The 19,740-nt window shown below is 55.7% G+C and overlaps 1 protein-coding gene and 1 long non-coding RNA gene across 6 annotated transcripts, besides 1 other annotated feature; one reads left to right on the forward strand and one right to left on the reverse strand.

Annotated features, from left to right (window-relative positions):
* Positions 1-1,646: 1,646 nt before the first annotated feature.
* Positions 1,647-4,385, reverse strand: LY6H (lymphocyte antigen 6 family member H). Of its 5 annotated transcripts, NM_001130478.2 has the most exons (5): positions 4,277-4,385; positions 3,929-3,998; positions 3,313-3,440; positions 2,534-2,653; positions 1,647-2,216 (listed from the first exon to the last, which is right to left on the reverse strand). In NM_001130478.2, coding segments are annotated over exons 2-5 (486 nt in total). In that variant the 5' UTR covers positions 3,931-3,998; positions 4,277-4,385; the 3' UTR covers positions 1,647-1,980. The 5 variants fall into 5 exon arrangements, with proteins under 5 accessions (NP_001123950.1, XP_047277738.1, NP_001129127.1 ...); XM_047421782.1 differs by lacking the exon at positions 3,929-3,998; NM_001135655.2 differs by lacking the exon at positions 4,277-4,385 and having other exon boundaries at positions 3,929-4,052.
* Positions 3,600-6,652, forward strand: LOC124902035 (uncharacterized). Its single transcript, XR_007061136.1, has 2 exons — positions 3,600-3,717; positions 4,528-6,652. It is a non-coding gene; the product is annotated as an uncharacterized LOC124902035 (long non-coding RNA).
* Positions 17,909-18,080: a silencer, noted in NCBI's record as "fragment chr8:144255595-144255766 (GRCh37/hg19 assembly coordinates)". NCBI's record gives its function as "represses an EF-1alpha promoter that drives an FKBP-Casp9 reporter gene in an ReSE screen in HepG2 liver carcinoma cells {active_cell/tissue: HepG2}" and the evidence as "EXISTENCE:reporter gene assay evidence [ECO:0000049][PMID:32094911]".

Below are 19,740 nucleotides of genomic sequence, written 5' to 3' on the forward strand. Positions count from 1 at the left end.
CCTGCCTGTCTGGCCCTGGCAGCCCCTCAGGGTGGGAGGTGATGGAGAGGTGAGGGCGTGCCCTTCTGATTGTATATGATTTTTCAAGAAGGTGGGAGAATTTCACTCCTTTTTGTGTCTTTAAATACCTCTTTCAGATAATAAATTCAGCATACAAAGATTTATATGACAATTGGCTCAAGCCTCACCCCGGTGGGATGGCCTGTCCACGGCCTCCCTAGCTGGCCAAGGCTTCCCTCGGGGGTTCCATCGCTCCAGGGCTTCCTGCCTCCTGGGAATTCTCAGCTTCTCTGCAGTACCCCAGCCCCCAAAACAGGAGGCACAAGCAAGAGCAGCACACTTTACTGAAGGGTGGGGTGGGGGCGGGGGCTGCATCACAGAGCAGGTGGCCTTCAATGGAAAAGCCCCTTGGCTGTGTCCAGCAGGGAATGGGCACCAATGCCCAGGACCGCAGGCCTCCTCTCTCTTCCTGGCTCACCAGCCCTGGACCCAATTCCTCGCCATCCCTCATGCAAGGCCAGCCTTTACAGGAACCACTGCTTTCCCTAAGGAGCCCAGGACCCAGCAGTGGCCATGAGATTGGGTCAGCCACAGGTGGCATGATGCAGCAGTGGCCAGAGACCAGGCCTCGGAGAAACCCTGGGGTGCCTGCCAAGCGGTGTGGTGAGCCTGGGCCGTGAGACGAGCCGCTGGTGGAGCATCTAGCGTGGTGGCCGGTGGGTGTGGGAGGCTGGGCTGGATGCGGGGGTGCAGGGCTGAAACTGGAGCAGGAAGGATCAAGACATCACTCCAACATTCCCCAGGCCAAGTCTTCCCTGCCCCCTCACCCCACGGCACCCAGTCCCTCCGGGCCAGCCCACAGAGAGGTGTGGGCTTCCTCAACCCCTGGCCACAGGGAGTGGCCTCAGGAGCCCAACTCAGGGCCAGGAGTGGCCGGAGTGGATGTCCAGTGAAGAGGCAGGGTGAGGGAACAGGAGGACTCCACTCGGCCTGAAGCAGCCCCCAGGGGCAGAGACAGCTGGGGTGGGGGCGAGAGGAGGCCAGCACGCGTGGTCTCATCTGTGAGTCTGTGAGGGCACCGTGTGCACTGCACGCTGAGTGTACAAGGGTGGGTGTGCACAGACATGGGCATGCACGTGTGGGTGTGGGCACGTGCACTGGGACACGCCAGTTTGTGCCAGTTATGTGCATGCCCCAGCACGTGTGCGCGGGGCACCTGGGGTGTGTGTGTGTGAAGGAGCAGGGCGGGCACGGGTGTGTGTGCACATGCTGGCTGCGTGGGCACCGTTTGTATGCTTGTCTGGGCATGAGTGTGTGTGCACATGCTGGCTGCGTGGGCACCACTGTTTGTGGGCGTGTCTGGTGTCTGTGGTGTGCTCACAGGATTCCGGTACCTCCCCCCAAGCCCACCCTGTGATCTTGCTCATCTCAGCTCTCACCCCATCACCCCAAGTGCTCCTAAACCTCACCAGGACCAAGCAGCCCCAGCACAACCACCCAGCACCCCAGTGCCCTGAGCCCAAGAGCCCAAGATCCTGGCTGAGCGCCCGCCCTGCCCCCAGCCCCTCCGCTCCCTCAGCACCTCATTCCCAGCTCTCTGCCAGGAACCCTTTCCCGCCCCCGACACCCAGGCTCAGACCCGGGTCTCAGGACTCAAAAGTGACTTTATTTCTCCGCAGAAGACGCCCTTCCAGCTGGGCTGTTGCTTCACTTCCCCTCCGGGACCTGGGGGTCCCCCCCCACCCTCATCCCCAGGCCTCCTGCCCAGATGGCCTGGTTTCCTGGAGATGTCCAGCTGCCTGGGACTCAGAGCTGGCGGAGAGACAGGGAGGCTTCACGTCGGGGGAGGAGTGAGAGCCACAGGCCACAGCCACGGAGCTGGGCCAAGGCTGCCCCCAGCCCCAGCCACGCCAGGCTGGGGAGAGGGCAGCCACAGGCTCAGGGGAGCAAGCTCAGAAGCCCCGTGGGAAGGAGGAGACATCAGGGCCCAGCCCAGAGGAGGGCAGGCCCCAGGCTGAGCAGGAGCCCCCCGGCCAGGGCCCAGGGGCTGTGCCCTGCCCCTGCCGCCCCATTGCACAAATCCTTCTCGCAGCAGTCCACGTCGACCTTTAAGATCCCAGAGTTAATAAACCCCATCAGATAGTCTGAGAAAAAGTGTCGCTTAACGAAGTCACAGGAGGAGGCACACATCTTGTTCACCGAGTGATCCTTCCTGCCTGGGAAGAGAAAGCGTGGCCTGGGACGGGGGCTCCTCCTGGGCCCTCTCTGCCTCATCCCGAGGACCCAGCCCAGGCCCCTCCGGGTCAGCTCGGGGCCCCAGTAGGCAGGGCCGAGTCCCTCCACCCTCCCACGCTGGCCTCAACTAGATGAAAAGGGCCACCAAGGAGCCAGGGGGGGACAGCAGGACAGTATCCTGCCTGCCGCCCCACGCTCTCACTCTCGTCCCAGGCCAGAGGGGCTCCGAGGACACCTCTGACCTCTCTCAAGAGCCTGGCTTTTAGCACATTCCCCACCACCCTAAGTCCCAACTTACTGCTGCTGGGATCGGTGATTCGGACACTGGCACACACCGTGTCGGACGGCTGGCACTGCTTTGGGGTGCAATGGCTGGAGTTGGTGGTCAGGGTGCAGTCCTGGCACCACAGGCCATGAGCTGGGCAGGGCATGGGGAGGAGGGTGACCAGAGGCACTGGGGTCCAAACCAGGCAGCCCCCTGCGCCCCCCACCCATCCCCCTGCTGCAGGCACTCCTGGGAGAGCCCGACCCCACGGGAGGGAGCAGGCCCCCATGACCCCTGGAGGGGGAGCAGAGGCCCTGGGACAACTGTGCCCCATCCTGGCAGTTTGAGGGGAGCCCCTATGGCCCCTCCCTGGCCCCCATGCACGTGCGTGCACACACACACACAAACACACACACGGGCTATACAGACCCCACACCGACAGTGCCCCCCTCACACTCCCGCCCCGCCTCACATATCCCCCCCAGAGGTCCGTGGGTTCCAAGCTGTGAAGGACCAAACTGGATTTGAAAGGAGGCCCGGGAGGCTCTCAGAGGTGACGGATGACCAAGGGCTTCCGTGCGGGGCCAGCCGCCCACCAGTTCCAGGCCCTGGAGGAAGAGCGCTGGAGAGAGCCCAGTGCCGGGGCAGAGGGGCCGAGGGCCGGGCTGGGGTCGCAGGGGTCCCGGAGGGGGCGTGGGCTCTATGCGAAGTGCGGTGGGAACCGTCAGAGGGTGGCAGCCCCACACCCGGCTCTCCCGCGGCGCCTCGGGCTCTCCCAGGCACCTGACCCAGCCCGCGGGCCCCCTACTCACCGGGCGCCGAGCACAGCAGGACGGCCAGCAGCGCCAGGCCGAGGCCCTTCATGGCTGCAGGCAGCATGCTCCGGGTGGGCCTGGGGGCGGCGCGGGGGCTTGGGGCGCGGGTCCTCTGGGGCGCAAGCCTGGAGGGGAGAAGCATCGGTCAGGAGACCCCAAAGACCCTCTCCTTTCCCAGCCTCAGGATGCAACCTTCTCCCCGGAATCCAAGGCCGGGGTCCGCCCGGAGCTCGCAGAGCCCCACCCCCAGCCCCTTCTCCAGAGCGTCCGCCGTCACAGCATCCCCGCCGGGAGACGTCTGGCCTCTGGGGCGAGGTGACAGCTCGAGACGCCTCCGCCCCGCGCCGGCACCTGTGTGGGGGAGCGGATGGGGGGCGTCCTCTTCTCCCCGGGGAGCTGCAGGTGCGTCCGGACAGGAATGAGCGGCAGGGGCGGGAGCGGGTGGGACCTGCCACTGGGGGGAGGGGCGCGTGCCAGGTCCCCACCCCCACCCCTGGGCTGGGGGGCCGGGAACCCCGGGCCGAGTCCCCTCCCTTGGCCTTCCGCGCGCGCCTCGGCGCTCACCGCGGATGGGGCGTGGAGCGCGGGCCTCGGGGTCGGGGGGCTCACTCACATCCCGGGGGTGTCCGCACTCCGGGCTCGGGCGGCGTGCGCGGCGCGGGGAGCTGTGCCCTTCGGTCTCCCTGCGGACCGGAATCCGGGCGCAGCCTCGTCTTTCGGGGAACGCAGCCGCAGACGCGGACCCCGCGCGAGGGGCGGGGCGGAGCCGGGGCGGGGGCCGCGCGGGGGGCGGGGGCGGCTGGGAGACGCGCGGGGCGGGGGGCGCCCGGGGCTCGCGGCCCCCACGCAGGTAGCTGGCCCGGGCCCTCCGCGCCCCCTTGCTGGCGCGCGCGCTCCCTCGGGTTCCCGCTCCCTCCCTCGCGGCGCCCCCTGCTCCTCCCCAGCCTCCGCGGCCCCCTACCCAGGCGTGGGCAGGATCCCTTCCCCCTCTGCTTGGCTGAGATCCCCTTGGAATTTCTCGGAAGAACGTTTACTGCGAAAGGAAGCAAAATGCACAAAGACGCAGAGAGGGGGAGGTACCCGGCGCGGCGCCACGCGCAGGTCCGGGTTCGCAGACCCCTGGGGTCAGACTCCCGCCCTGGGGCCCCGCCCTCCCCCTCCTCCCCGCCCCTCCCCAACCTCATACCCGTTTCCCCGTTTCCCCGTTTCCAGTGGCTCCAGGCCGTTCTCCTCCCCTGAGCATCCATGAAGACCCCCACCAGAAGCCGCAGCCCCAGGGGCTTCTGTCGCCAAATACTCCCACACTCGGAGGTAAAGGTACAAATCCTGGCCAGAGCATCCGAGCCTTGGACCCGTTTCTCGGCTTCCTTGGCCTTCCCGCCCTGCCCTCCAGCTCCCTAAAAGCTGTGCCTTTGCACGTGTCCCTGTGCCTGAAATCCGCCTCCCCGGGGCACTGGGGAAGCCCCGATCTGCCATCGTGCCTTTGGTCCTGCTCCCTTTCATTTGACCTGAAAATGTTTACTGCATGCTCCCTGCTGCCCTAGCCCTGCCCTGAGCCCTGGGAAAGGGCATGAGGAGAGAGACCTGGTTTCTGCCCTCCTGACTCTCCCCTTGGACAAATGGTGATGCCTACTGCAGCATATCTTTGCAGGATGTGACAGAGCTAACATTTATTGAGCATGTACTATGGATTCCACCTGTTCTAGACACTTCATATTTATTATCTCCTTATAGTCTCACCACAGCCCTGCTGTGCAGATAGTATCATTTCCATCTCACAGATGAGGAGACTCACACGGAAAGGCGGCGCTCCCTGCTCGGGGTCACACAGTGACGCAGGTGACAGGTGACCCAGCTGAAGTGGGAACCCAAGCAGCTTGGGCTACAGGGACTGCACACCTCCGCTCCATTGTGGCTCCAGAGGGGTGGAGGCAAGGACGAGATGGACAAGAGACCACCACAGGAGCGTGCTTTGCCTCAGGGTCAGGGAGAGCTTCTCCCAGGACCTGATACTTTAGCCGAGAACTGAATGAGGAGTTGAGATTCATAAGGTGCAGAGGGCAAGAGCTAGATCAAGGTTCAAACACAATTCTTTTCAAAACATACAGAGCTCGCAAGAAAGTAAAAGAAATCTGAGTCCATAAAGAAAGAAGTAAATAGAATAATGGACTCCCAAAGTCTGCCCACTGAGCAGGAGGCAGATGTGAAACTCACAGTGGTCCTGGGCAGACCTGGACCCCCACGGGGTCTGAGGTCCCGGAAGCAGAGCCTGAGGCAGGGATTCCAGAGCAAGCCCTTTGGTTGGAGGTGGGGATAGCAGCCCTGGGGAGTGGGGAAGTGGTCCAGGGTGGGGAAGGAGGCTGGCAAGCATGTGGTACTCAGCAACCCCCCGCAGTGGGGAAATGGAGCCTGACCCCAGAGAGGTACTCTGGGAAGTGGTGTAAACTGTGAGCCTCAGGTGAACTCACCCAAGGGATGAGGGAACAGGTATTTCACAGCGACACCCAAGAGTCATTGATTGAGGGCTGCCCCGAGGGATGCTTTCTCCTGCACCCTCCACTTGGCACCCACACAGAGCCCTCCGGGGAGCCAGGGTGGTCCCAGGTCAGTAGCATCCCTGCTTGCAAAAGCAAAACCAACGATGAATACTCTGGAGAAAGCAAGCCCCAACTTAGGGACTGAGGTTCCCACAGATTTAACTGAATCAAATATGAGTTCAAAATGAAAAATCAGCACATGTCTAAAGAAAGCAAGCCTCCAAGTGAGACTCAGCTGACAGTGACGAGCAACAGATTTAAATCACCACAAACTTTCTAAATGGAAAATATCAAATATAGGATATAAAATTAACCTATTTGTTATGCTTAAGATATATTAAAATAAGGAACAAAGCACTATGAAACCAATCACCATGCTTATCAGAAAAAAATAGAACCTCTAGAAATGAAAAACTTTTCATTGAAATGAAAAGGTCAGCAGAAACCTTGAAAGAATTACGGTAACTGAAAGAAGCCAGTCACAAGAAAACACATTGTGTGGTTTTCTTTTTATGAAATGTCCGGAATAAACAATCCAAGAGAGACAGAAGGTAGCTTAGTGGTTGCCTTGTGCTAGAAGGGTGGGATAGGGGAATCAGTCCTCCTTAGGGACTGGTAATAGGCACTACTAATAAATAAAGTGATAAAAGCACTCATTTAGGAGTGATGAAAATGTTCTAAAAATAGTGATTATGGTCACACAACTCTATGAATATACTACAGACCCCTGGCTTGTATATTTAAAAGGGTAAATGCTATGGTATGTGAATGATATCTCAATAAAGGTGTTTAAAAAAATACTCAGCAAACAGATTACGCAGCAAATTAAACACAACTGAAGAGGGAATTCATAAACTAGAAGATAAATCTTTAAAAAATTACCAAGAATGTAGCACAAAGGATAAGGAAATAGAAAATAGGGAAAATAAGAAACATAAAAGATGGTGTTTTCCTGATGCCCACTTAAGTCTGAGCAAGAAAAGAAGAAAAGAAAAAACTAAAATAAAATAAAACAAAAAGATGGTGTGCAGAGAGCTTATGGAAGTCTGGTTGAAATCTCAAAGGAAAGAGAGTCAATCATTGAAGAAGTTATGCCTGAGAATATTTCAGAACTGATAAAAAATAAGTATGCACAGAGAGGCACAACATGGACTAAATAGAATAAAGAAAAATAAAGTTTAGATGACAGAGTGAAATTGCAGAAGACCTTTAAGCCAGCCAAAAAGAAAAGGAAGATCAGCTCCCAGGAAACAGCAATAAGATTGCCAGCAGAATTCCAGGAGCCCCAGTGACAGCCAAAGGAGAGGAAAATCGGATCTGTAAAGGGCTCAGAGGGAAATAACTGTCACTAAGAACTTGATATATTTTCCAAAAATAAGTGTAAAATAGAATTTTCAGAAAATTAAAAGTTTAGAAAACAACTCAATAGCAGGAAAACAAATAGGCCAATTAAAAAATGAGCCAGAAGCAGAATAAACCTTTCTCAAAAGAGGGCATACAATGCCATCAGGTGTATGGAAAAATGTTCAGCATTATAATCATCAGGGAAATGCAAATTAAAATCACAAGGAGAGATCACCTCCTGCCTATTAGAATGCCTGCCATCAAAAAGACAGAGATAACAATTTTTGGTGAGGATGTGGAGAAGAGAACCGTTGTGCACTGTTGGTGGGAATGTAAATTAGTGCAGCCATTAGGAAAAGCAGTATGGAAGTTCCTGAAACAATTGAACATGGAGCTACCTTGCCACCCAGCACTTCCAGTTCTGGGTATATAGCCAGATAAATAGAAATCAGTATCTTGAAGAGAGGCCTGCATGCCCATATCCATTGCAGCATTATTCCTAACAGCCAAGACATGGAATCCACTTGTGTCCATCAGCAGATGAATGGAAAAAAGAAAAAGTGACAGAGAGAAAGAGAGATAGATTAGATAGATATAAGCCAGGCTCGGTGGCTCACACCTGTAATCCCAGTACTTTGTGGGGCTGAGGCGGGGGGATCACCTGAGGTCAGGAGTTCAAGAACAGCCTGGCCAACATGGCGAAACCCTGTCTCTACAAAAAATACAAAAATTAGCCAGGTGTGGTGGCACGTGCACCTGTAATCCCAGCTACTAGGGAGGCTAAGGTAGAAGAATCACTTGAACCCGGGAGGCAGAGGTTGCAGTGAGCCAAGATCACGCCACTGCACTTCAGCCTGGGCGACAGAGTGAGACTGTCTCAAAAATAAATAAATAAATAAATAATTTAAAAATAAAAATATTAGATAGATGTAGATCTATAAAGTGTTAAAATAAAGATTATGAAACTGATGGGATGCACTCTTTGTGGCAATGATATTCCAAATTATAAATAAGACCTAAGGCTGTGGCAGGCAAGGATTAAGTCACACACCCCTAAACTTAAAGAATAAACTATGTTCTAACCATAAGGATTTTTCTTTTTCTCTAGCAGCTAAACAAACACTGGCCACAAAAAAAAATGATACGTGTGCGAGGTGATGAATATGTTAATTAGCTTAATTTAATCATTATATAATGTATACATATATCAAAACATCACGTTGTACCCCATAAATATGTATAATTATTATGTGTCAAACTTTTTTTAACTTTAGATAATTTTTTTCAGATGAATAAAAATCAGAGACATTGAGAGAGCTTACCACTAACAGTCCTTCCCTAAAGACTGCACTTCAAGGAGAAAATTTGTCACAGAGAGAAGGTTAGGGCCAGGTATGGTGGCTCACACCTGCAATCCCAGCACTTTGGGAGGCCTAGGTGAAAGGATCACTTGAGACCAGGAGTTTGAGACCAGCCTGGGAAACATAGGGAGACTCCATCTCTACTAAAAATTTTAAAATTAGCTGGGTGTGGTGGTGCACACCTGTAGTCTCAGCTACTCAGGAGGCTGAGGTGGGAAGACTGCTTGAGCCTAGGAGGTTGAGGATGCAGTGAGCTGTGATCGCACCACTGCACTCCAGCCTGAGAAACAGAGCAAGACCCTGTCTCAAAAAAAAAGTACCTGGCCAGGCGCGGTGGCTCACACCTGTAATCCCAGCACTTTGAGACGCCAAGGCGGGGGAGATCACTTGAGGTCAGGAGTTTGAGACCAGCCTGGCCAACATGGCAAAACCCCATCTCTACTAAAAATACAAAAATTAGCGGGGCATGCACGGTGGCTCATGCCTGTAATCCCAGCACTTTGGGAGGCTAAGGTGAGCGGATCACGAGGTCAGGATATCGAGACCATCCTGGCTAACACAGTGAAACCCTGTCTCTACTAAAAATACAAAAAAAAATAGCCGGGCATTGTCGTGGGCGCTTGTAGTCCCAGCTACTTGGGAGGCTGAGGTAGGAGAATGGCATGAACCCGGGAGGCAGAGCTTGCAGTGAGCGGAGATCGCGCCGCTGCACTCCAGCCTCTGTCTCAAAAAAAAAAAAAAAAAAATTAGGCAGGCATGGTGATGTGCACCTGTAATCCCAGCTACTCAGGAGGCTGAGGCAGGAGAATTGCTTGAACCCGGGAGGTGGAGGTTACAGTGAGCCGAGATTGCACCACTGCCCTCCAGCCTGGGTGACAGAGCGAGACTCCATCTCACAAAAAAAAAAAAAAAAAAATTACATGAGTGGACCTTTGAGAAGGCAGGCTGCTTTCCGCCATGGCGGGCTTCATCCATTCGGCAGAAGGCCTGGATAGAATGAAAGACTGGCCTCCCTGCGGCAGAGTCCTTGGACTCGAACGGCACGTCAGCTCTTCCTGGGTTTCCAGCCTGCTGGCCCTGCAGGTTTTAGACTTGCCAGCCTCCTTCATCCTGGAAGCCAATTTTCAAAAACCTCTCTGCACGTGTGCATCCCATTGGTTCTGTTCTCTGATCAATGCAAGGAGGGCCCTACAGCAGAGGGCTTGCCAGCCACTCAGGGAGTTGCGGCTCTGGGCCCCTTTCCTTCCACCCTCCTGGTCCTGCCCTCCATATCAAAAGACGACTGGCCAGAGAGAAAAGCTTGGGAATGGCTTTGAGGTACACGATCAAAGACGTCTGCAGAAATGGGAAACGCAAAGGGTTGAAGAGAGGGATGGATGCTATTGATCGACATCTCAGAAGATCCTCTGACTGCCTTATGGAGAATGGACTGGAAGGTTCTAGAACAGAACAGGGAAGCTGGTGAGGAGGACGTGGCTGGGACCAGGGCAATGGCCGTGGAAATGGCCATGGAAGTGGGTGGGCTTGCAAGGCTTGGTGATGTCTCTGTGCAGGATGCCTGCCTCCTGGGCCGGGAGCTGGGGATGCAGATGGGCCGAGGGTGTGGGGCTGGGAGGAATGGTCACTAGAGAGGTGTGTGAAGCACTTTCTTAAGTCAGAGATGCCTGGGAGGCCTCCAGCAAGAGAACTCAAGGACATCAGGGTTGCAGAAGAGAAGCCTTGCCTGGAGACAGACGTGGGCATTGCTAGCACAAGGAAGAGAGCAGACACAGTCGTCTAGGAAGTGGAGAGGGGAAGGAAGGTCATCTAGGGAGGACGTGGGGAGGGGAAGGAAGGTCATCTAGGGAGGAAGTGGGGAGGGGAAGGAAGGTCGTCTAGGGAGGAAGTGGAGAGGGAAGGAAGGTCGTCTAGGGAGGAAGTGGAGAGGGGAAGGAAGGTCATCTAGGGAGGAAGTGGAGAGGGGAAGGAAGGTCATCTAGGGAGGACGTGGGGAGGGGAAGGAAGGTCGTCTAGGGAGGAAGTGGAGAGGGGAAGGAAGGTCGTCTAGGGAGGAAGTGGAGAGGGGAAGGAAGGTTGTCTAGGGAGGAAGTGGAGAGGGAAGGAAGGTCGTCTAGGGAGGAAGTGGGGAGGGGAAGGAAGGTCATCTAGGGAGGACGTGGGGAGGGGAAGGAAGGTCGTCTAGGGAGGAAGTGGAGAGGGGAAGGAAGATCGTCTAGGGAGAAAGTGGGGAGGGGAAGGAAGGTCATCTAGGGAGGACGTGGGGAGGGGAAGGAAGGTCGTCTAGGGAGGAAGTGGAGAGGGGAAGGAAGGTCGTCTAGGGAGAAAGTGGGGAGGGAAGGAAGGTCGTCTAGGGAGGAAGTGGAGAGGGAAGGAAGGTCGTCTAGGGAGGAAGTGGAGAAGGGGAAGGAAGGTCGTCTAGGGAGGAAGTGGAGAGGGGAAGGAAGGTCATCTAGGGAGGAAGTGGGGAGGGGAAGGAAGGTCGTCTAGGGAGGAAGTGGGGAGGGGAAGGAAGGTCGTCTAGGGAGGAAGTGGGGAGGGGAAGGAAGGTCATCTAGGGAGGAAGTGGGGAGGGGAAGGAAGGTCGTCTAGGGAGGACGTGGGGAGGGGAAGGAAGGTCATCTAGGGAGGAAGTGGGGAGGGGAAGGAAGATCGTCTAGGGAGGAAGTGGGGAGGGGAAGGAAGATCGTCTAGGGAGGAAGTGGAGAGGGGAAGGAAGGTCGTCTAGGGAGGAAGTGGGGAGGGGAAGGAAGGTCGTCTAGGGAGGAAGTGGGGAGGGGAAGGAAGATCGTCTAGGGAGGAAGTGGGGAGGGGAAGGAAGATCGTCTAGGGAGGAAGTGGAGAGGGGAAGGAAGGTCATCTAGGGAGGACGTGGGGAGGGGAAGGAAGGTCGTCTAGGGAGGAAGTGGGGAGGGGAAGGAAGATCGTCTAGGGAGGAAGTGGGGAGGGGAAGGAAGATCGTCTAGGGAGGAAGTGGGGAGGGGAAGGAAGGTCGTCTAGGGAGGAAGTGGGGAGGGGAAGGAAGATCGTCTAGGGAGGAAGTGGGGAGGGGAAGGAAGATCGTCTAGGGAGGAAGTGGAGAGGGGAAGGAAGGTCGTCTAGGGAGGAAGTGGGGAGGGGAAGGAAGGTCGTCTAGGGAGGAAGTGGGGAGGGGAAGGAAGATCGTCTAGGGAGGAAGTGGAGAGGGGAAGGAAGGTCGTCTAGGGAGGAAGTGGGGAGGGGAAGGAAGGTCATCTAGGGAGGACGTGGGGAGGGGAAGGAAGGTCATCTAGGGAGGAAGTGGGGAGGGGAAGGAAGATCGTCTGGGGAGGAAGTGGGGAGGGGAAGGAAGATCGTCTAGGGAGGAAGTGGGGAGGGGAAGGAAGGTCATCTAGGGAGGACGTGGGGAGGGGAAGGAAGGTCGTCTAGGGAGGAAGTGGGGAGGGGAAGGAAGATCGTCTAGGGAGGAAGTGGAGAGGGGAAGGAAGGTCGTCTAGGGAGGAAGTGGGGAGGGGAAGGAAGGTCGTCTAGGGAGGACGTGGGGAGGGGAAGGAAGGTCATCTAGGGAGGACGTGGGGAGGGGAAGGAAGGTCGTCTAGGGAGGAAGTGGAGAAGGGGAAGGAAGGTCGTCTAGGGAGGAAGTGGAGAGGGGAAGGAAGATCGTCTAGGGAGAAAGTGGGGAGGGGAAGGAAGGTCGTCTAGGGAGGAAGTGGAGAGGGGAAGGAAGGTCGTCTAGGGAGGAAGTGGAGAGGGGAAGGAAGGTCGTCTAGAGAGGAAGTGGAGAAAGGAAGGAAGGTCATCTAAGGAAGAAGTGGAGAGGGAAAGAAAGAGGTCCCCAGGCCCACTCCTGGAGGCGCTGGCCATGGGGTCCTGCCTTGAGTAGCAGATGGCAAGGGCTCTTCTTGCCAAGGGTACAGCACAAGTCAGGCCCTGAGATCGGTGCCTGACGCCCACCACAACTGTGAGCCTCCCCATGTGACACTGACCACGCAGGGCTGAGTCTCAGGGCTGCCCTCAGGCTAGGGTGCTCTCCGTCATCCACATAGGTTGGCTGGAATCCCAGCAAGGGTTCACACTCTGGGCCCTTCCCATCTCCACTCCTCTTGTTCCTGCCAAGCCACCTCCCTCCCCTTTAGCCAAGCCACTCCCAAGGGTCCCAGAGCCACCTCTTCCCAGGCAGGGCCCACAGGTATCCTCCAGCAAAATCCCACTGAGCCTCCTGCTTCCAAAGCACTCCCTCTTCCCTCCCCCAACCCCACCTCACCCTGCACCCCTCTAACTCCTTCTCAGCTTCTCCTCTCGGCCTAAGTGTTCCCTCTGACCCCCAGATCAGGTGTGTGGAGGGCACAGGGGCTCTGGGGAGCACAGGAGCATGAGGGGACACCGGGGCTCTGGGAGGCCACAGGGGTGCAGCCCCTCCATGTGGATCTTGTCCCACCAGGGACCGTCGGCTCCTTACAGGTGGGTATCTTGTGGACGTTGCTGTCACCGGCAGCCGGGGCAGGTCCCGACGCAGAGCCCCTGGCTGCACTGACGCCTCTCCCGGTTCCATTCCTGCCCATCATCCTACTGCTTACCCTCCCTGGGTCCAGGGTCAAGGCCATAAAGGAAGAGGCCTGAAGAGGAAGTTTTACCAGGACCAGCCACAGTCTCACACCTGCTCCCACACCTGCCACTTCCTCCTGTATCTCCACCACCCCCTACCCCACACCTTCCTCCCTCTCAACCCTGGCTCATGCAGTTCCTCCCTCTGCAACGTCCTCCCCTCCAGAGCCAGGACACAGGGAGCTCCTCCCAGCCTGTCCTTATGCACTGAACAGTCCCCAGCATGCCCTCCGGTGGCCTGGGCACACAGTGAGGGTCAGGTCTCAGGCCCCTGCATCCTCCCCGAATGTCCCATCCCTCTCAGAACCTCACACACGGACAGTCAGCCTAACCGTGGACCTCTCCCTGCCACCTGACCATGAGCCAGCACGAGGCACCTGGCTCCGTCCCCTGGAAAGGGGCTGCAGGGATGGGTGAGGCAGTGAGAGACCTGGTCAGAGACGTGGTCAGACAAGGCCCCTCCTGGGGGACACTGAGCCAGGCCTGAGGACTCTGCGGGTTCTGGAGGGAGGAGAGAGCAGGGGATGGAGCTGAGTGAGGGCGGGCTAAGGGGGATGGAGGACGGGGGGCAGCTGAGGTCACAGCAGTGGCAGAGATGGCTCAGGCTGTGTGCTGGGAAAGGGGCAAGATTTTATACTAAAGGCCACAGGGGCCAGGGAAGTGTTTGAGGCGGGGTGGTATTTGGGTCCAGCCGTGCTCGCCTGTGTTTGATGTGTCCGTTTCAAATTTCACACTGCCTTTGCCATGGGGCAGCGGACAAGCACAGGTGCCCTGGCACAAGGCTGGCCTCTGCGTCTCTTAGCTGGACCCAGAGTCCCTGTATAAGAGTGGGGGACTGTGGGTGGCACTCAGTAGGTGTCCCTGTACAAGAGTGGAGGGGCTGTGGGTGGCACTCAGTGGTGGTCCCTGCTGACCACAGCCAGTCTACTCCTAGAATAGGAATCTCTGCCAAGTTACCCTTCAGAGACTTGAAAGTTCCCTGCCAGGCCTCGAGCAAGGCAGGCCCTACCTTCCAGTGCCTAGGTCTGTGGGATGGTGGACAGGCTCCAGGGGCCCCCAGTGCTCCACGCCCCTGCGGCTCTCACCCTCAGGGACTCCCCTCCCCTTTCACACAGGCTGCTCCTGCCAACTTACTTCTGATGAAGCTGGCACAGCAGAGTGACGGGATGTGGCTCCCGAGATCCGGTTACAAAGCCTGTGGCTCTGTCTTCGCTGTGCTCTCTGGCTCTCTGGCATCCTGGGGGGTGCTGGCTGCTGTGCTGGGAGGAAGCCCTGTGGACAAGCCCAGGTGACAGCGATGAGGGGCTGAGTCAACAGCTGTGCAAGTGAGCTGGGGAGCAGATCCCCTAAGCTGAGCCTTCAGATGAGCCTGCAGCCCCAACCCAAAGGCTCGGTACAACCCACGAGAGACGGTAAGCCAGAGCCACCACAGAGCCTGGATTCCCGCCCCACAGACACTGAGAGAATAAACTGTGTTGTTTTAAGTCCCTGTGTTTGGGGGCAATTTGCCACACAGTAAAAGACAGCACAGGTGGGTAGGGCCTGGCTTGTGCATAACCTGGGATGGGGCAAGGGGTGCCAGGACACCCAGAGAGTCATGTCTAAGCAGGGGCAGAGCCTACAAATGCCAGAGGCGAGACCTGGCTCTGGGCTGCTCTTGGAGCAGAGACCCGGCTCTCCCCACACTGGGCTCGGTTGCCAGGGAGACGGAGATTCCTAACCCGGTTTCCAGGCTACTCTGCCGTCCTCCCCATGCACGTGGGTCGGTTTCACCCTATCAGGATTTTTGCAAATAAGAATAACAACCGTGGTCATGATTAGCAGAAGAAAGGTCTTTAATGACACAGAGCAAACCAATGTCAAGGTGTGGCCCTGGCCCTTTCAGTTTGCACAGCCCTGCAGGGAGCTGGGGACAGGGGCCGCACCTTCCTCCTCCCAGTCTAACCCGGCCCAGATGCCTGTTTCCGGGGACGTAGGGCAGCGACAGGGTGATGGGGCTGCCTGGACACGCTGTCTGGGGATACTTCAACAAGCATCCTGCAACCGTGGCCCAAGCCTCCTTTCTATGCTCAAGGTCTGGCAGTGATTGGCGCACCAGCTGTTCACACCGCAGAACCACCTCCCAGAGGCGAGGCAGGACCAGAACCAGGGGCAGTGTCAGAGGCCGCTGCTCTTGGGCCTTTTGCTTCAGGCATCTGGAAGCACTGAGGCCGACAGATGCAGAGGGGACAGGCCGTGGTGGAGGCGTGGGGGCGGGCCCACCAGAGAGGTGCCGCACAGCTCCCTGTCTTGAGTTTTAGCCACCACTGTCAGCACCCTCCGAGCTGCTGGAGGTGGGACCCGGGCGAGTCTCAGAGAAGATGCACCTGTCCCGAGGGCTTGCACCTGAGTTACAGAGAAGAAGGCATTTCCCAAAAGACAGGCCCTACCCTCCAGAGGGTCTGCTAGGGTAGGACAGAGACACTCTCATGCACACAATAAGCATTTGCTGAGGAGCTGTGGTGCTCAGATAAGGAGAGAAGCCCCTGATCCCCGAGGGCTTCCAGGACAGTGGGGGAGACAGTGTGCAGTGTGGGGCCCCACGGAGACGTTCATGGCCCAGCTCCCAGGACCCGCGAATGCGGCCTTACGGAAAAAGGGGTCTTTGCAGATATAATTAAGGATCTCAAGATCATCCTGCATTTGGGCTGGGTCCTAAATCCAGTGACAAGGGTCCTTACAAGAGAGAGAAGAGGAGAGGAGCACAGAGGAGGAGGCCACGTGACCCCAGAGCAGATTGGAGTCATGGCCACAGGCCAAGGAACCCTTCAAGCCACAGAAGCTGGAAGTCAGAGGAGGATCCTGCCCGAGACCCTTCAGAGCAAATGAAGTCCTGCTGAAACCTTGACTTCAAACTTCTGGCCTCCAAAACCACAAAAGAATACATTTCTGGGCCGGGCGCGGTGGCTCACGCCTGTAATCCCAGCACTTTGGGAGGCCGAGGCGGGTGGATCACGAGCTCAGGAGATCGAGACCATCCTGGCTAACACGGTGAAACCCCGTCTCTACTAAAAATACAAAAAAATTAGCTGGGCGTGGTGGCGGGCGCCTGTAGTCCCAGCTACTCGGGAGGCTGAGGCAGGAGAATGGTGTGAACCCAGGAGGTTGGAGCTTGCAGTGAGCGGAGATCGTGCCACTGCACTCCAGCCTGGATAACAGAGCGAGACTCCGTCTCAAAAAAAAAAAAAAGAATACATTTCTGATGTTTTAAGCCACAAAGTTTGTGGAGAGCTCTCACAGCATCCCCAGGGGCCCCAGCCATCACCTCTGGCACTGGGTCCTCTTCAGGCTGACTCCTGTGTCCTCTGACATGACCCTGTGGCTTCTCCCAACACATTATGAACAATTTCAAGAACACAGGACAAATGGAAAGAAGTTTACAATGAACACCCGTATACCTGGCACCTGGATCCTACAATTCATATGTTGTTACATTTGCTTTATCATATATTCACCCCAACCCATCTCCTATTCTTGATGGACTTCAAAGTAAGCTGTAGCCACCTGCACGCTTCCCACAGAGACTCTAGCTTACACTTCATAACTACCTAACATATCATCAATTACGTTTAGAGGTGAAACCACATTCAGTGAAATGCATGCACCTTGAGGGTGCCATTCCATAGTTCTGACAAATGCATACACCCGTGTAACCCAAACCCCTAACAAAATATAGACATTACTAATCCCCCAACCCACATCCTACCCTGCCCAGCTCCAGTGAAACCCCATCTCCTCCCTTCTGCAAAGACAACAACTGTTCTGAAACTTTTAAAACCATAGGTTACTTTGGCCTGCTCTAGAACGTCACATAAGTCAAACCATGTGGTCCATATCCTTTCCTGCAGGCTCCTTGTGATGCGTGCGGCCAGGGTCCTGGCAGTTTGTTCCCTTGCATGGCTGAGTGGCATCCCACGCGTGAGCGTTCCACGCATGAGCGTTACAACGTTTGCTTATCCACTTCCTTGTTGGCCGACCCTGGGCTGTGTGCCGTGTTTGGCTCGGGTACATTCCTGAGTCCCGCATTCTCTTGGGTAAATATTGGGGTACAGAGTTGCCGTGTCCAGAGTTGCTGTGTCCAAAGGTCAAGTAAATCGTTCTCTAAGAAATTGCCAGGCCAGGCGCGGTGGCTCACGCCCGTAATCCCAGCACTTTGGGAGGCCGAGGTGGGCAGATCACCTGAGGTCAGGAGTTCGAGACCAGCCTGGCCAACATGGTAAAACCTCGTCTCTACTAAAAATACAAAAATTAGCCAGGCGTGGTGACACACCTGTAATCCCAACTACTCAGGCGGCTGGGGCAGGAGAATCACTTGAGCCGAGATTGTGCCACTGCACTCCAGCCTGGGTGATGAGAGTGAAACTCCATCTAAGAAAGAAAGAAGGAAGGAAGGAAAGAAAGGAAGGAAGAAGGGAAAAGAAAAGAAAAGAAAAGAGAGACAGAGAGAGGGGGGGAGGGATGGAGGGAGGGAAGAGAGAGAAAGAAAGAAATGGCCAGACTTTTTCCAGAGCAGCTGTCCCACCTCATACTCCCACAGCACGTGCACAGACCAGCTGCGCACCTCACGCAGACACGTGGTGCTGAGCTGCAACGGCCCTGAGCACTCCCAGGCCATCCCACACACTTCCTGCTCTGGAGTCTGACATTCTGTTATTGGAGGGGAGGTCTTGACTGTGAGTTGTCCCGGTTCTTGGCGTGTTGAACAAAGAACTGAACAAAACGCACAAACAAAACAACGAAAGAACAAAGCATCAAAAGAAGCAACGAAAGCGCAGATTCATTGACGCGCAAGTGCACTCCGCGGCTGGGAGCGGCTCGAGCAAGCGGCTCACGAGCCCAACTGCAGTGTTCTTTAGGGTTCTTATGAAGCTGAAGGAATTTGGTAACACCCCTAGGTGCCCTTTGGAGACCTCCAGCAGGTTACGTCTCATGAAGGATTGGCCTGCGCTGTGATCAATCAGTCAAGAGTCTGAAGTGGAGACTTCCGTCTCGTCATCCCAAGAGCGGATGTGGCCCGTGTGCTGCCTCGTCTTGCCTGGAACTGGCTGCACCTGCTCCTCTTTCACTTATGCCTTAACCCGTGGCGACCCTAATTCCCTATCCTCCTGCCTCATTTCCCACTGAGAGACATGATCCCCATAAATCTTTTTTTTTTTTGACTGTCCCTGCCTACTGGGGGTCCTGGCTCTCTGTCCCTAGGTAGTTAGGTGGGTATCCGTGGATCCAGCAGCCTTGTGCTTGCTTGTAAAGGGTGTAGCTGACCTGACCCAGTCACAATGGTTGGGCATTTGGGCCCAATTTTGGATTTTGTTCCCAAACTGGCTGAAACCCTTGCACAAGTATCACACAAACATGGAATTGCTGTAAATGAGAGAGCAAAAAAAATCAGTTAACATTTTAAACAAAGTTAGACCAGAAGTTAAGGCCAAAGATGTGGCAATAACTGGTACTACCAAAGGAAGTAATGCAGATAGCAACCGGTGTTGCCAGGTTTCCGTGGGAGTTCCCAAAGACTCCATTTTCTTTGCCTGGGAAATTACATTTTTAGTATTTTCTTATGCTAAACCAGACTGGCTGATGCAAAAACAACATTCTTCCTTTAAATATAAGCAAGTTCCTCTTTGCCAAAGAGCTCTAAGGCTCTTTGATTTTGTAAGACTACGGCAGCCAGGGAGTCCAGCTGTTGCTGAAGCCTAGTGAGGCCCTCTGCTGTCAGAGGGATATCACAGTCTCCTGAGGCCCCTTATGCTGGATTCCAAGGCTCCTCCTCCTGCAGCGATCCCAGTAAACCCAACAAGGAGGACACAGGTCTGGCATATGCCAGGCTTTTGGTAGTCATGCAAAGCCAACAAACAAGGTGAAGTTTAATAAACCAACAGTATGGCCAATTATTTCCCTTGCTGTGAGAAACATGCTTACCTGTCAAAACCCAAAGAATGGACTTAGAGGCACCAAGAACGGCGGAAGTGAGACTTTTAATAGCAGCTTTGGCCGGGCGCGGTGCCTCACGCCTGTAATCCCAGCACCTTGGGAGGCCGAGGCGGGCAGATCACAAGGTCAGGAGATCGAGACCATCCTGGCTAACAAGGTGAAACCCTGTCTCTACTAAAAATATAAAAAATTAGCCAGGCATGGTGGCGGGCGCCTGTAGTCCCAGCTACTCGGGAGGCTGAGGCAGGAGAATGGCATGAACCCGGGAGGCGGAGCTTGCAGTGAGCCGAGATCGCGCCACTGCACTTCGGCCTGGGCGACAGAGCGAGACTCCGTCAAAAAAAAAAAAAAAAAGCAGTCTTGCAAGATCAGGTGTCTGGTAGACAGGCACACTCAGTAAAGTTACAACAAGCAATTTGTCCCCTAGTGCTCAGGTCCCTCCCCCGGTTCTTCATAGGCTGAGTACTATGGGGTCACGATCTTCCCGGACATCACCTATTAGTCATTGGGTTGCGGTTTTAGGTGTTTTCTTTAAGGTTGTGTTGCTGCGTTTTGTTACAGCCCACAATGCATTGCAGTCATCTCAGGGGCTCTTCAAGTATCTGAATGATGACCCAGGTAGTCAGGCAAGC

The sequence above is a fragment of the Homo sapiens genome, chromosome 8 (genome assembly GCF_000001405.40).
Source record: "Homo sapiens chromosome 8, GRCh38.p14 Primary Assembly".
NCBI lineage: Eukaryota > Metazoa > Chordata > Mammalia > Primates > Hominidae > Homo > Homo sapiens.